This window comes from Homo sapiens, chromosome 9, assembly GCF_000001405.40.
Source record: "Homo sapiens chromosome 9, GRCh38.p14 Primary Assembly".
NCBI lineage: Eukaryota > Metazoa > Chordata > Mammalia > Primates > Hominidae > Homo > Homo sapiens.
Window position 1 is genome coordinate 110,019,090 of NC_000009.12, and position 13,334 is coordinate 110,032,423.

At 41.0% G+C, this 13,334-nt stretch overlaps 1 protein-coding gene and 1 pseudogene across 12 annotated transcripts in view, besides 2 other annotated features; one reads left to right on the forward strand and one right to left on the reverse strand.

The window, feature by feature from the left end:
- Positions 1-13,334, forward strand: part of PALM2AKAP2 (PALM2 and AKAP2 fusion) — a 531,726-nt gene that overhangs the window by 378,303 nt on the left and 140,089 nt on the right. The gene's annotated exons all lie outside the window — the stretch shown is intronic.
- On the reverse strand, positions 5,752-6,309 carry RPL21P87 (ribosomal protein L21 pseudogene 87; annotated as a pseudogene).
- Positions 8,582-8,751: an enhancer, noted in NCBI's record as "experimental_104606 CRE fragment used in MPRA reporter constructs". NCBI's record gives its function as "activates a minimal promoter by MPRAs in K562 erythroleukemia cells, with activity observed for both the introgressed and non-introgressed 9:112790036 or rs7024673 variant alleles {active_cell/tissue: K562}" and the evidence as "EXISTENCE:reporter gene assay evidence [ECO:0000049][PMID:34662402]".
- Position 8,667: a transcriptional cis regulatory region, noted in NCBI's record as "Neanderthal adaptively introgressed variant 9:112790036 (GRCh37/hg19 assembly coordinates) or rs7024673 in the experimental_104606 CRE". NCBI's record gives its function as "modulates activity of the experimental_104606 enhancer by MPRAs in K562 erythroleukemia cells {active_cell/tissue: K562}" and the evidence as "EXISTENCE:reporter gene assay evidence [ECO:0000049][PMID:34662402]".

The window sequence follows — 13,334 nt, forward strand, 5'->3', positions numbered from 1 at the left end:
TTAGCCGGGTGTGATGGCGCGTGCCTGTAATCCAAAGCTACTAGGGAGGCTGAGGCAGGAGAATCACTTGAACCAGGGAGGCAGAGATTGCCGTGAGCCGAGTCTGCGCCACTGCACTCCAGCCTGGCAAAACAGCAAGACTCTGTCTCAAAAAAAAAAAAAAAAAAAAAAGAGAGATACCATCTCACACCAGTCAGAATGGCCATTATTAAAAAGGCAAAATAACAGATGTTGGTGAGGATGCAGAGAAAAGGGAACAGTTATACACTGTTGGTAGCAATGTAAATTAGTTCAACCCCTATGGAAAACAGTAAGGAGATTTCTCAAAGAACAAAACTACTGTTTGACCCAGCAATGGATATCTACCCAAAGGAAAATAAATCGTCTTATCAAAAAGACACTCACACTCATGTTTTCTGTAGCACTATTCACAGTAGGAAAATCATGAAATTAACCTAAGTGTTCATCAGCGGTAGACTGGATAAAGAAAATGTGGCATATATACACCATGGAATACTACATAGTCATATAAATAATGAAATCATGTCCTTTGTAGCAACATGGATGCAGAAGGAGGCCATTATCCTGCAAGAATTAATGCAGAAACAGAAAATCAAATACTGCATGTTCTCCCTTATAGGTGGGAACTACTACACATGGGCATAAAGATGGAAACAGTAGAGACTGGGGACTCTAAAAGAAGGGGCAATAGAGAAAGGAGAAAGGGTTGTAAAACTACCTATTGGATACTATGTTCACTGTTTGGGTGATGGGTTCAGTAGAAGTCCAAATCCCAGCATTACGTAATATACCTTGTATCAAGCCTGTTCATGAACCCCCTGAATCTATAATAAAAAAATTAAAATTAAATAAAAAGAATTATTTTTTTTCTCTCTGTATATAACTGCCTGGAGCTCATTAAGCACAGACTCCCCCTCTTACATTTAGCTATAGCTATTCCTACTTCTAATAGCTACTTTATATATCCTTGCAATATCAGCTATTCCTGCCTTTTGCCTGAGAAAACAAAATATTCTGTTAATAAAACCTGATACACTGACACTTTTCAAGGGAAATATCAGCAGAAATTACAAAGATAGTTGGGTTTCTTCCATATTGCTCTTCTTGTGATAAAGGTGTCTATTTTAGTATTTATAAATTTTCTTTCTGAAAAAGGAATACAATGTTTTGAAGGTGCTTGCTTTCTCTTTGCCTTCCATTTCCCTTGCCATGATTGTAAGTTTCCCGAGGCCTCCCAGTCATGCTTCCTGTTAAGCTTGTGGAACTGTGAGTCAATTAAACCTCTCTTCTGGCTGAGCATGGTGGCTAATGCCTGTAATCCTAGCACTGTGGGAGGCCGAGGTGGGTGGATCACCTGAGGTCAGGAGTTCAAGACCAGCCTGGCCAACATGATGAAACCCCATCTCTACTAAAAATATAAAAATTACCCGGGCGTGGTGATGCATGCCTGTAATCCCAGTTACTTGGGAGGCTGAGGAAAGAGAATTGCTTAAACCCAGGAGGTGGAGGTTGCAGTAAGCTGAGATCACGCCACTGCACTCCAGCCTGCATGACCAGAGTGAGACTCCATCTCAAAACAAAAAACAAAAAAACCCTCTCTTCTTCATAAATTACCCAGTCTCAGGTAACTCTTTACAGCAGTGTGAAAATGGACTAATAAACCTGTGAATGTGACTTATTTGGAAAAAAAGTCTTTGCAGATACAATTAACAATCTTGGCTGGGCACGTTGGCTCATGCCTGTAATCCAAGCACTGGGAGGCTGAGGTGGGTAGATCACTTGAGGCCTGGAGTTCAAGACCAACCTGGCCAACATGGTGAAACCCTGTCTCTACTAAAAATACAAAAAAATTAGGCATGGTGGCACACGCCTGTAATCCCAGCTACTCCGGAGGCTGAAGCACGAGAATCATTTGAATTCAGGAGGCAGATGTTGCAGTGAGCTGAGATCACACCACTGCACTCCAGCCTGGGTGACAGAGTGAGACTCTGTCTCAGAAAATAATACTAATAATCTTGAGATGAGAGCATCCTGGATTTACCAGATGGGCCCTAAATCCAATGACACATGTCCTTATAAGAGACAAAAGAGGATACTCATATACACAGAAGGCCATGTAAGGGGACTGAGGCAGAGGTTGAAGTTATGCAGCCCAAGTCAAGAAACACGTGGATCCACCAGTAGCTAGAAGAGGCAAGGAAGGAGTCTTCTCTAGAGCCTTTGGAGGGAGAGGAGTGCAGCCCTCCTGACACCTTGAATTGGAACTTTTGGCCTCCAGAATTGTGAGAAAATAAATTTCCGTTGTTTTAAGCCACCAAGTGTGTGGTAGTTTGTTATGGCAACCCTGGGAAATGAATGCACTCAGATTCTGCCAAGAATCACACCTATGCTTCTTGAGTGCAAATGCCATAGAGGCTGATAAACCAATATTACGAAGATCCACATAATTTTCTTATTTTACTCTACTTACCCTTATAAATTGTTTTTTACCTGTTCTTGTTTTGGGAGAACCACTAACTTTTTTCAGCCTATATTTATCATCCTTCACTGGAAGAAAAGGGTAGCTGTATCTCAGAATAGCTTCTATTTTATATCCTATTCTGTTTTGTTGCTTGTCCAGACATTGAATTTAAAAAAAAAAAAAAACAGGTATGGATCAGTATTTCTTGAAATGCCTGACCCTGAGAATCACCTGCAGCAATGTAGAAAACAACAATAACACAGCTTGCCAGACATCTTTCAGAATTCAGATTCAGAAGACCTGGGCTTGAGAATTAGCATTTTTAATAAGTGCTCCAAGTAACTTTCATGATTAGTTTCAGAAAATCTTGTCTTAGCACACCACTAATGCAGTCTGGGGGTGGCAATGTGAGCCCTACTATTGCTCTTGGCTCTCCAGTTGTCCAACCAATCTGAGGCAGGATTTGGATACTTCCCTATTCAGTGCCCTTTGATTACTTCCCATTTCAACACTGAATAAGCCTCAGGCTTCCCCTGCCTTCTAGACTTTCTTACTCTTAACTTCAGTTTCATTTTTAGCATTGTCTTTCACTGTGTCTCTCTCTGTACCCATTCTTGCCCTCTTTATCCGGTCTACTTGTAGCCTGGATACTGTAGCTTTCTTTTTAAAAAGCTGAGTTGAGCTTTGCACGGTGGTGGGAAGATTGCTTGAGCCCAGGATTTCAACCCTAGCCTGGGCAACATACTGAGACTCCATCTCTAAAAAAATAAATGAAAAGATCAAGCTGATAATATCCCTCTGCTAAGGCCCTGCTGGCCTTCCCATGGCTCCTGGAACAAAGACCAACTCTTGCAGGCACTGTGTTTTTTAAAAGCCCCTGGCTTTCATTCACTTCTCCCTTGATCTTCCTGCTCTCCCTCTCTCTTTATATTCACATCTTTGGCTCAAATATTCCCTCCTCCAGTGGCACATTCTTTTCTTTTTTTTTCTTTATTTTTATTTTATTTTATTTTATTATTATTATACTTTAAGTTTTAGGGTACATGTGCACAATGTGCAGGTTTGTTACTTATGTATACATGTGCCATGTTTGTGTGCTGCACACATTAACTTGTCATTTAGCATTAGGTGTATCTCCTAATGCTATCCCTCCCCTCTCCCCCCACCCCACAACAGTCCCCGGAGTGTGATGTTCCCCTTCCTGTGTCCATGTGTTCTCATTGTTCAGTTCCCACCTATGAGTGAGAACATGTGGTGTTTGGTTTTTTGTCCTTGCAATAGTTTGCTGAGAATGATGGTTTCCAGTTTCATCCATGTCCCTACAAAGGACATGAACTCTTCATTTTTTATGGCTGCATAGTATTCCATGGTGTATATGTGCCACATTTTCTTAATCCAGCCTATCGTTGTTGGACATTTGGGTTGGTTCCAAGTCTTTGCTATTGTGAATAGTGCCACAATAAACATACGTGTGCATGTGTCTTTATAGCAGCATGATTTATAATCCTTTGGGTATATACCCAGTAATGGGATGGCTGGGTCAAATGGTATTTCTAGTTCTAGATCCCTGAGGAATCGCCACACTGACTTCCACAATGGTTGAACTAGTTTACAGTCCCACCAACAGTGTAAAAGTGTTCCTATTTCTCCACATCCTCTCCAGCACCTGTTTTTTCCTGACTTTTTAATGATCCCCATTCTAACTGGTGTGAGATGGTATCTCATTGTGGTTTCTTTTTTTTTTTTTTTTTTTTTTTTTTGAGATGGAGTTTCGCTCTTGTCACCCAGGCTGGAGTGCAATGACGCCATCTCAGCTCACCACAACCTCTACCTCCTGGGTTCAAGCAATTCTCCTGCTAAGCCTCCTGAGTAGATGGGATTAACAGGCCTGTGCCACCACGCCCGGATAATTTTGTATTTTTAGTAGAGACGGGGTTTCTCCATGTTGGTCAGGCTTGTCTTGAACTCACCACCTCAAATGATCCACCCGCCTCGGCCTCACAAAGTGCTGGGATTACAGGCGTGAGCCACAGCACCCAGCTCCAGTGGCACTTTCTAACAAGCATTGCTTGTTTCACATTCTCATAGGACCTAACAGCTCTCCTTCATAGCCACTCACATCAATAACCATAGATGTCGGGCAGGTGTGGTGGCTCACACCTGTAATCCCAGCACTTTGGGAGGCCAAGGTGGGTGGATCGCTTGAGACCAGGAGTTCGAGACCAGCCTGAGCAACATGACAAAACCCAGTCTCTACGAAATACAAAAAAATTAGCTGAGTGTGGTAGCATGTGCCTGTAGTTCTGGCTACTTGGGAGGCAAGAGATGGGAAGATCGCTTGAGCCCAGGGAGATTGAGGCTGCAGTGAGCTGTGATAAAACAAAAAATAAAATAAAAATAAAAATAACCATAATTTTCATTGCATAATATCCAGTTGCCCTTGCTACAATATCATTTCCGTAAGGGTCATTTTTCTGTTTCATTTTTTACTTGTTAGAGGCTCTAAATTGTAGTTCTTTTTTTAAATAACACAACTTTATTAAGGATAAAATTTGCATGCCATATGGTTCCCCCAGGTAGGTATATGATTCAATAATGTTTCATAAATTTACTAACCATCACACAATCCAGTTTTAGAACACACACAGTTTTAAATAATTTCCATCATTCCAATAAGATCCCTCATGCCCTCCTATAGTTAATCTCCATTCTACCCCATCCCCAAACAACCACTCATTCCTTTCTGTTTCTATAAATTTGCCTGTTCTGGACATTTCATATAAATGGAGTCATACAACATGCAGTGTTTTGTATCTGGCTTAGGATGATGATGATTTTTTTTTTTTGAGGTTTATCCACATTGTAGCCTCAATCACTATCCCTTTCACTCTTTTTAATGCTGAATAATATTTCATTTAATTGATATGCCAGGCTGGGCATGGTGGCTTACGCCTGTGATCCCAGCACTTTGGAAGGCCAAAGTGGGTAGATCACTAGAGCCCAGGAGTTGGAGACCAGCCTGGACAACATGGTGAAACTGTGTATCTACAAAAAATACAAAAATTAGCTGGATGTGGTGGCATGCATCTGTAGTCCCAGCTACATGGGAGGCTGAGGTGGGAGGCTCACCTGAGTCTAGGAGGTAGAGAGTGCAGTGAGCTGTGATTGTGTCACTGCACTCTATCCTGGGTGATGACAGAGTATGACCCTGTCTTAAAAAAAAAAAAAGATATGCCAGTGTCTTGGGTTTTTTGTTTTTTTTTTTTAACAGCCCAGAGGTCTTTTATTTATTTATTTTTTAAACACCTATTATGCCATGAATTCATAGGGAATAGGTTCCAGCAGTTCAGGCTCCTTCCCATTGGTTCTCACAAAGTGTGCTTCTCTGGGTGGAGCAGGCTGGCACTTCAGTTGAACCCAGGTACCTTTCTCTTTGGCTTCTTTCTTTTTCTGATCATTTTCCTTCACACATTTCAGGAAGCTATCTCGGCTCAGAGTGCTTAATGTGCTCAATATGCACATTAATTCTCTTGGCAAGAATCTTGCCCTTAACTTGTTTGTTTACAATACCAACAGCATGCTGGGTAACATTGTAGACTCTTCCAGTTTTGCCATGGTAACACTTGTGGGGCATTCCTTTTTGAACAGTACCCATTCCCTTGATGTCTACAATATCACCTTTCTTATAGATTCGCATATACGTGGCCAAAGGAACAACTCCATGTTTTCTAAAAGGCCTAGAGAACATATGTCGGGAGCCTCTCCTCTTTCCCTTTGTGTTCGTCATTTTGGCGAATTACTGGAAGATGGAGGTTCCGCCCGAAAGGCTTTTTTTTTTTTTGTTCCTTCACAAGTTGATGGATTTTGAGGTTGTTTCTACCTTCTGGCAGTAAGTATTCTTGCTATGAATAGTTGCTGCTTTGGATAGTCACATGTAAGCCTTTGTGTGGACGTAGGTCTTCCTTTGTCTTGGGATTGTACCTAGGAGTAGAATTGCTGGGTCATATGGTAAATCTGGGTTTAACTTTTTAAAAAGCTGTCAGACTCTTTTCCAAAGCATCTACACCACTTTACACCTCACCAACAATGAATGAGGCTTCCAAGTTTTCTACATCCTAGCCAACACTTACTACTGTCCATCTTTTGATTATAACCATCCTAGTGGGTGTGGAGTCGTATGTCATTGTGGTTTTGGTTTGCATTCTCCTGGTGGCTAACGACACTGAGTTATTTTCATGTGCTTATTGGCTATTTGTATGCAGTTAATTTTTAATGGCTTGATTTCCTTTTTTGCCATAGTTTGTTCAATTATTAAATTGAAGCACTCTCTCATTGCAGCTGCCCAGTCAGTGTTTTCTGAGTGAGGGACCCTCTTCTTGACTGTGGCAGGAGGGTGCACTCAACTCACACTTCCCCTTTAAGATCACTGCCCTCTCCACCACTACGTCCCTCTGCAGGGGTTGCATCAATCTCTCTTCTTTCTATTTCTTTTCTTTCTCTCACTCTTTTATTTATTTCTTTCTTTCTTTTAGACAGGGTCTCGCTATGTCACCCAGGCTGGAGCACAGTGTGATCATGGCTTACTGCAGCCTCAACCTCCCAGGCCCAAGCAATCCTCCTACCTTAGCCTCCTGTGTAGCTGGGACTATAGGCGTGCAGCACCACACTTGGCTAAATTTTTATTTTTTGTAGAGAAGGAGGACTCCCTATGTTGCCCAGGCCAATCTTAAACTCCTGTGCTCAAGTGATCCTCGTTCCTCAGCCTCCCAAAGTGTGAGATTACAGGTGTAAGCCATCACACCCAGCGATTATCTCTCTTTTCTATTTTCCCTTCACATCTTAGCCTTTTTTCTTTAATTTTTTTATTAGCCTAATCAATGCTATTTTTTATTGTGGTAAAACAGATATAACATTTACCATTTTAAGCACTTTTAAAGGGTACCCGTCTGTGGCGTTAGGTACATTCAAAGTGTTCTGTAACCATCATCGTCATCCATCCTTCTCCAGAACTTTTTCAACATCTTCTTCAACCAAAACTCTCTACCCATTAAATACCAGCCCCCCATTCTCTCCTACTCCAGCTCCTGTCAACCACCTAAATGTTGCATTTTACACCTAAAATGTATTACTATTTAATTGCCTTCTCAAAGGGATTTTTAATACATTATGTTAATAGTAAAAAGCCAGTAAGGCCAGGCGTGGTGGCTCACTACTGTAATCCCAGCACTTTGGGAGGCCAAGGCAGGTGGATCACTTGAGGTCAGGAATTCAAGACCAGCCTTGCCAAATGGTGAAACCCCGTCTCTACTAAAAATACAAAAATTAGCTGGGTGTGGTGGCACACACCTGTAATCTCAGCCACTCTGGAGGCTGAGGCACGAGAATCGCTTGAACCCAGGAGGTAGAGGTTGCAGTGAGCCGAGATCGCGCCACTGCACTCCAGCCTGGGTAATAGAGCGAGATGCAGTCTCAAAAACAAAAACAAAAACAGAAAAGCCAGTAAGATGGCTACCCCTCAGAAATAAAGTAGGAAGCTGCTACAAGCTAGATTTTTAAAGATATTGCTGGTTACAAAAGTTCCTTTCTTCTGTGGCGTGAACTGTCCAGGACCCTCATACTGGAAATGTCTTGGCCTTATCCAGCTGGTGCCTTGCTGCAAGTCCCAAATCACACCTGCTTGGCTGTGCATCATTTTCTTGAATTTTGTTTATCCAACGACTGGATAAAATGACATCAAGTAATCCATGTTAAAGAAGTATCTCTAGGATAAAAATTTTGTGATTTGGCTGTCATTTCCATCAAATACACCAACTAAATCGTAGATGCTCTCTTTATCTTGCCCTCTTGTCCATATATACTAAGACTAAAAACTAAGTGTTTGCAAAAAAGAATACAAAAAATTTTAGCACAGCAGAATTTTCCTCAGAATGAAGTCTGGTATTCTTATTTACATGTTCAATATTTCTCATTTATGCTTGAACAAGAAACAAGGTTGGTAGCCCTTAGGCAAACTAGAGATTCTGGCTGTAAAACCGTTTGAAAAGGGTACATTTCTATTCAAGGACATGGGAAAGCCACATTTAAAAAAGGATGTTGCTTCTCTACACGTAAAACTTGTTGGAAGACAGATTATCCTCCTAGAAGAGCAGATGTTCTCTATTACAAAAGAGGAAAAGCATTTAGACTCTTCCGGTGGTGAATAGAGGCCACAGGTTACAGCTTTCTTTGGCCTTTGCTTTTAAAAAAACATTCTGCTGAAGGCCTTTTGTTGCCAGTGGTGTCCAGCCGGTTGCCCTTTGTATTTGATGATGACGACATTGAAAGGATTGTTTTGTGCAGGGACTCTGGACAAAAAAGAGACATTTGGGACAGAAAACCTTTCTACATTGTGTATATACATAAAGATCGCTCTAAATTTGGTTCCTTGCCAAAGGAAATATTTTCGAAGATTTTTTAAAAATCCTTGAAACTATTCAGGGTAGTGGATCTCAGAGGGGGTTTGGCATTGGTGAGTAGGAGGCATATCGGTACTATATGGGTCAGTTTTTATAATACATGTCTTTGAGAATCATTGTCTTGAATTTTCTTTAAAATGAATATGAAGAGCTCTGTTGTAAACTGTAATAAACTATATTATTAATGGTTATTTATTGTTCCTGTGTGCTACTCCCTATTTGTCAAATAAAATAAATGTGAAAGAAATGAAGTCACAACCATTGACAGCTTTCAATAATCTATGTGTAGATAAGGAATATTCGTGGCAAGTGAATAATCTCAGGTACCTTCTTCTTTGCCGTTTTATTTCTTCGCTGTGTTCTCTTGCCAACAATAATAGCTAACATGGGTTGAACGTTTGCTTTGAGCTGAGTACTGTGCTACACATACACCATCTCGTGTAATCCTCCAGATGACTCTGCTAAGGAGAAACTGTTATTAATCCCATTCTACAGATGTGGTGGCTGTGGCACAGTAAAGTAACTTACCCAAGATCTCAAAGTGAGTGTGTGGTGGAGCCAAGCTTTGAACCCAGATGGAAGGACACTTTGTAGCCTCTCTGTTTGGGTTTTAATAAGTGCAGGTTTATTTTTTTTTAATTAGCTAAAGCAGGGGAGCTCCAATGACAGGGCAAGGGTAGCTTAGCCAGATAAAATATTAGATGTCCAGTTCGATTTGAATTAAATTGCATGGGACATACTTATATTAAAAAATTATTTGTTGTTTACCTAAAATTCAGATTTTACTGGGTGTTCTGTATTTTTATTTGCCAAGTCCAGTGGCCCTAGGCAAGAGGAGTGTTGCAAAGGAAATGAAGGGAACCGCGTAATGTGTTTTGATTATTGTCCTTTGGGATTATTTGTGGTTTTGGGTTCTTTTTGAAAAAAAAAAAAAAAGACTTTTTTCATTTTAAACATGACAATGTATTTTATTAAGCTTTAAACCAGACAGATGTATATTTTAAGGACTTGTAATATGCTGATAACCTATCAAGGGACATCCCTTGATATGCTTCTTTGCTAGGAATCCAAATCTGATCCATGCCAAGATTTGTACCTCATTGGTTTCTCTATGAAGTGAAACTATGAGAAACACTACCCTCTATTTGTTTGTTTGATTGTTTTTTCTTTTGAACAACAGCAACAACAAAAACCCTTTACCTCAATCTGGGTATATCATGACTTTTTGGAAGCCTTATTCTAGGATCTTCTTTTTAGTTGGGATATCAGTGTTAGCCTAATTTCATTTTCTGCAGATAGCTTCATCATCCCAATTTTTAAAATGTTGATGAAATACTCTTGTGCTTTTATCAACTCCTACTTGGTAAAATCCCCTATCTCTGAGTGGTCACCCTAAAATACATGACATGGGCATGGATATTCCCAGCAAAAGTTCTGACACATTCACAAATGCTTCCTGAGGACATCTGTCTGTTTCCTTCTATGCACATTTTGAACATTCCAGCAGTGAGAATGACTAATGATGCTAAAGCTCTAGAAACTGTCACGTGTTGCTGTTCAGTATGTCAGAGCCTGTCTGCAGATAAGCCTCATTTCTTAAGAATAATCTGTCCCAATCAAGCTAGTTTTGCAACAAGGCTCATTTGCAAGTACCAAAGTCTATGACTTGTGAAAGAACCAAGCCACGCAAACCAAACACAGAACCCAGTGACAGAAACTATTGGTCTTTAGTGCGACTGGAAGGTAGCCAACCTGGTTCCCATTTAGGCAGGGAACCAGTTTGTCTCTCCAGTTAATGTCTGAATAAATTACCATTCATGTCCCTGAGGGTTTGGAATGATTGCAAATTATTTCTGAAATCCTGGGTAGAACTCATGTGGCCACTTACGATAAGCCTTGTCCTTCTGCAACTGGTCAGGTATCAGAGAGGTCTCATAAATCAAGATTGTAGTTATCAGGAAAAGTTGTTGGATTCATAGAGTAGGGGCCAAGGGAAAACTTTCCCTTTGCCCTCTGAAATTTCGTTGAAAAATCAATTGACACTAGACAGATTAACGGGAGAAATGGCATAGAAGTTTACTAATGTGCAAAGAGAGAAAATTACACACAATGGGGTACAGATGGTTATATACCCTTCTTCTTAGAGGAAACGGAGATAGGAAGTGTGGAGATAGGAAGTGGGGGGAAGGGCAGTAAATGATTTTTACTTGAAGAACCAACAGTGACCTGGGACAAAGTCTGTTGGGCCCACAGAACAGACAACAATTTGTGACAGAAGTCTGTTCAGATGTGTTGACAGACTTCATTCAGTCTTTCTTCCTGCTATATGAGTTGCTAATGGCAACTCAAGGAAGAGACCAGAAGTAATTGTTTTCTTCTCTGGAGGGTAAGATTTTAGGTAGATAAGGGAACTTCACAGAACCATTTCATCCTGTGCGTAGGGGAGAGACAGAAGATTGAGAGACAGGAGTGAGGGGAGGTCAGAGAGACCTTGAGCCTTCTTCAGGTTCAGAATATCAAAGCATCATATTTGGGGATATAGGTTTCTGAGCCCTAACAATGGGAAGAATGATCTTTCTGTATCATATGAATACTGAAGATTGTTGAAGTGAGCATCTAGTGCTCCTATCTCGATAAATTATCCAATGCCTTTCCCATCTCTTTCTCCTACCCATTCTCTAGTGGCCTGCCCCCTTGCCCTTTTTATTGTAGTGAAAACTTAGTAGTAAAAAATACACTTGGTAAAAATCATGACATCATGTAAATTGTATGTAAAAAGATGACATGCTCATACAAGATGCTTGATTCATTGCCTAGCAGAGCAGGCCACTGGTAGGTCTGCATACCACGAGCTGGTCTGTTTCGAGGTCACTTATGCTTACTATCATTGCAACAACTACTTCTTCCTCAGAAATTAGTCAGTGGAGATGTGACATTTATTTTATCTCAGAATTTTTATGTCTGTTTCTGAAAAGAAAAAGGTACCAGCAGCTGCAGTTCCCACTCCGTCTCCCAAAGGGATCTGGGCTAGAGGGTAGGGTATTGGATTTGTCATCATATTTTCCATCTGCTCACAGATTGTGAGGTTTATTATTGTTTCTGTTATTGTTTTTTGAGACAGGGTCTCACCTTGTTGCCCAGGCTGGAGTGCAGTGGCGCCATCTTGGCTCACTGCAACCTCCACCTCCCAGGTTCAAGTATTTCTTGTGCCTTAGCCTCTAGCCTCCCTGGTAGCTGGGATTACAGGTGTGCGCCACCAGGCCTGGCTAATTTTTGTATTTTTAGTAGAGACAGGGTTTCACCATGTTGGCCAGGCTGGTCTCGAACTCCTGACCTCAACTGATCCGCCCACCTCAGCTTCCCAATGTGCTGGGATTACAGGTGTGAGCCACTGCACCCCACCAGAGTGTGAGTTTTGATCTCCAACAGTATGCATTTTCTAGTGAAATTCGGTTTAATAAAATGAATAATGAGATAATAGCTAACATATATTGAGAACTTCCCATGTGTCAGGTAGTGCTCTGGGTGTTTAGGGTATTCTATTATTTAATTCTTACCACAACCCTATGAGGTGGGTACTAGGATATCTCCAGTTTACAGAGAAAACAAGGTGCAGAGAGATTAAGTAACTTGTCTAAGGTCACACAGACAAGGAGTGCTGGAGCCTAGGTCTAAGCCAGACAGCACTAGATCTTCATGACTTTGTCACAGTGCTTCACCTTGGAGAATAATGAGATGATGCTGGTATGTAGACATGCTAAGGAGGTCTTCCTTGCCTCACAGTCCTGATCAATATGGAGGCTTTTATGTAGTTCTGTTTGCGTTCATTCTTCCAATGCAAAGCTGGAGTTTACCTAGTGGGATAAGATTTGATTTTCATCCTTGAGAATGAGTTGTTCTTCAGGCTGGCCCATGAGTCTTCATCCTGTCAGCATTCTGATTACATTTCTCATTATCATTCTCCTGCAGTGATTCATGAGTATGATAAAACCGAACAGCCTTCTCAGTAAATAAGCAAAGCTTAGCTTACGGGGAAAAAAAAAAAAAAAAAAAAGTAGAGCTTTCCTTGAATCTGGAGAAATTAAGCACACAGGTGTCCTGCAATATTAGTTAAGAGACTACTGCACCCATCATACTGTAGCTTAAGACAGTTTCTTCTTTTAGTTTTTTCTAAAATGTCTCCATGTCTGTGTTATGCCACAAATAACACAGCCTTGGTTAACTTTTGGACTAAAAAAAATCAACTTATTGGCCAAGCATGGTGGCTTACACCTATGATTGTAGCACTTTGGGAGGCTGAGGCAGGAGGATTGCTTGAACTCAGGAGTTTGAGACCAGCCTGGGCAACTTGGCCAGACATCATCTCTACTTAAAGAAAAAAAACCGCCGGGTGCGGT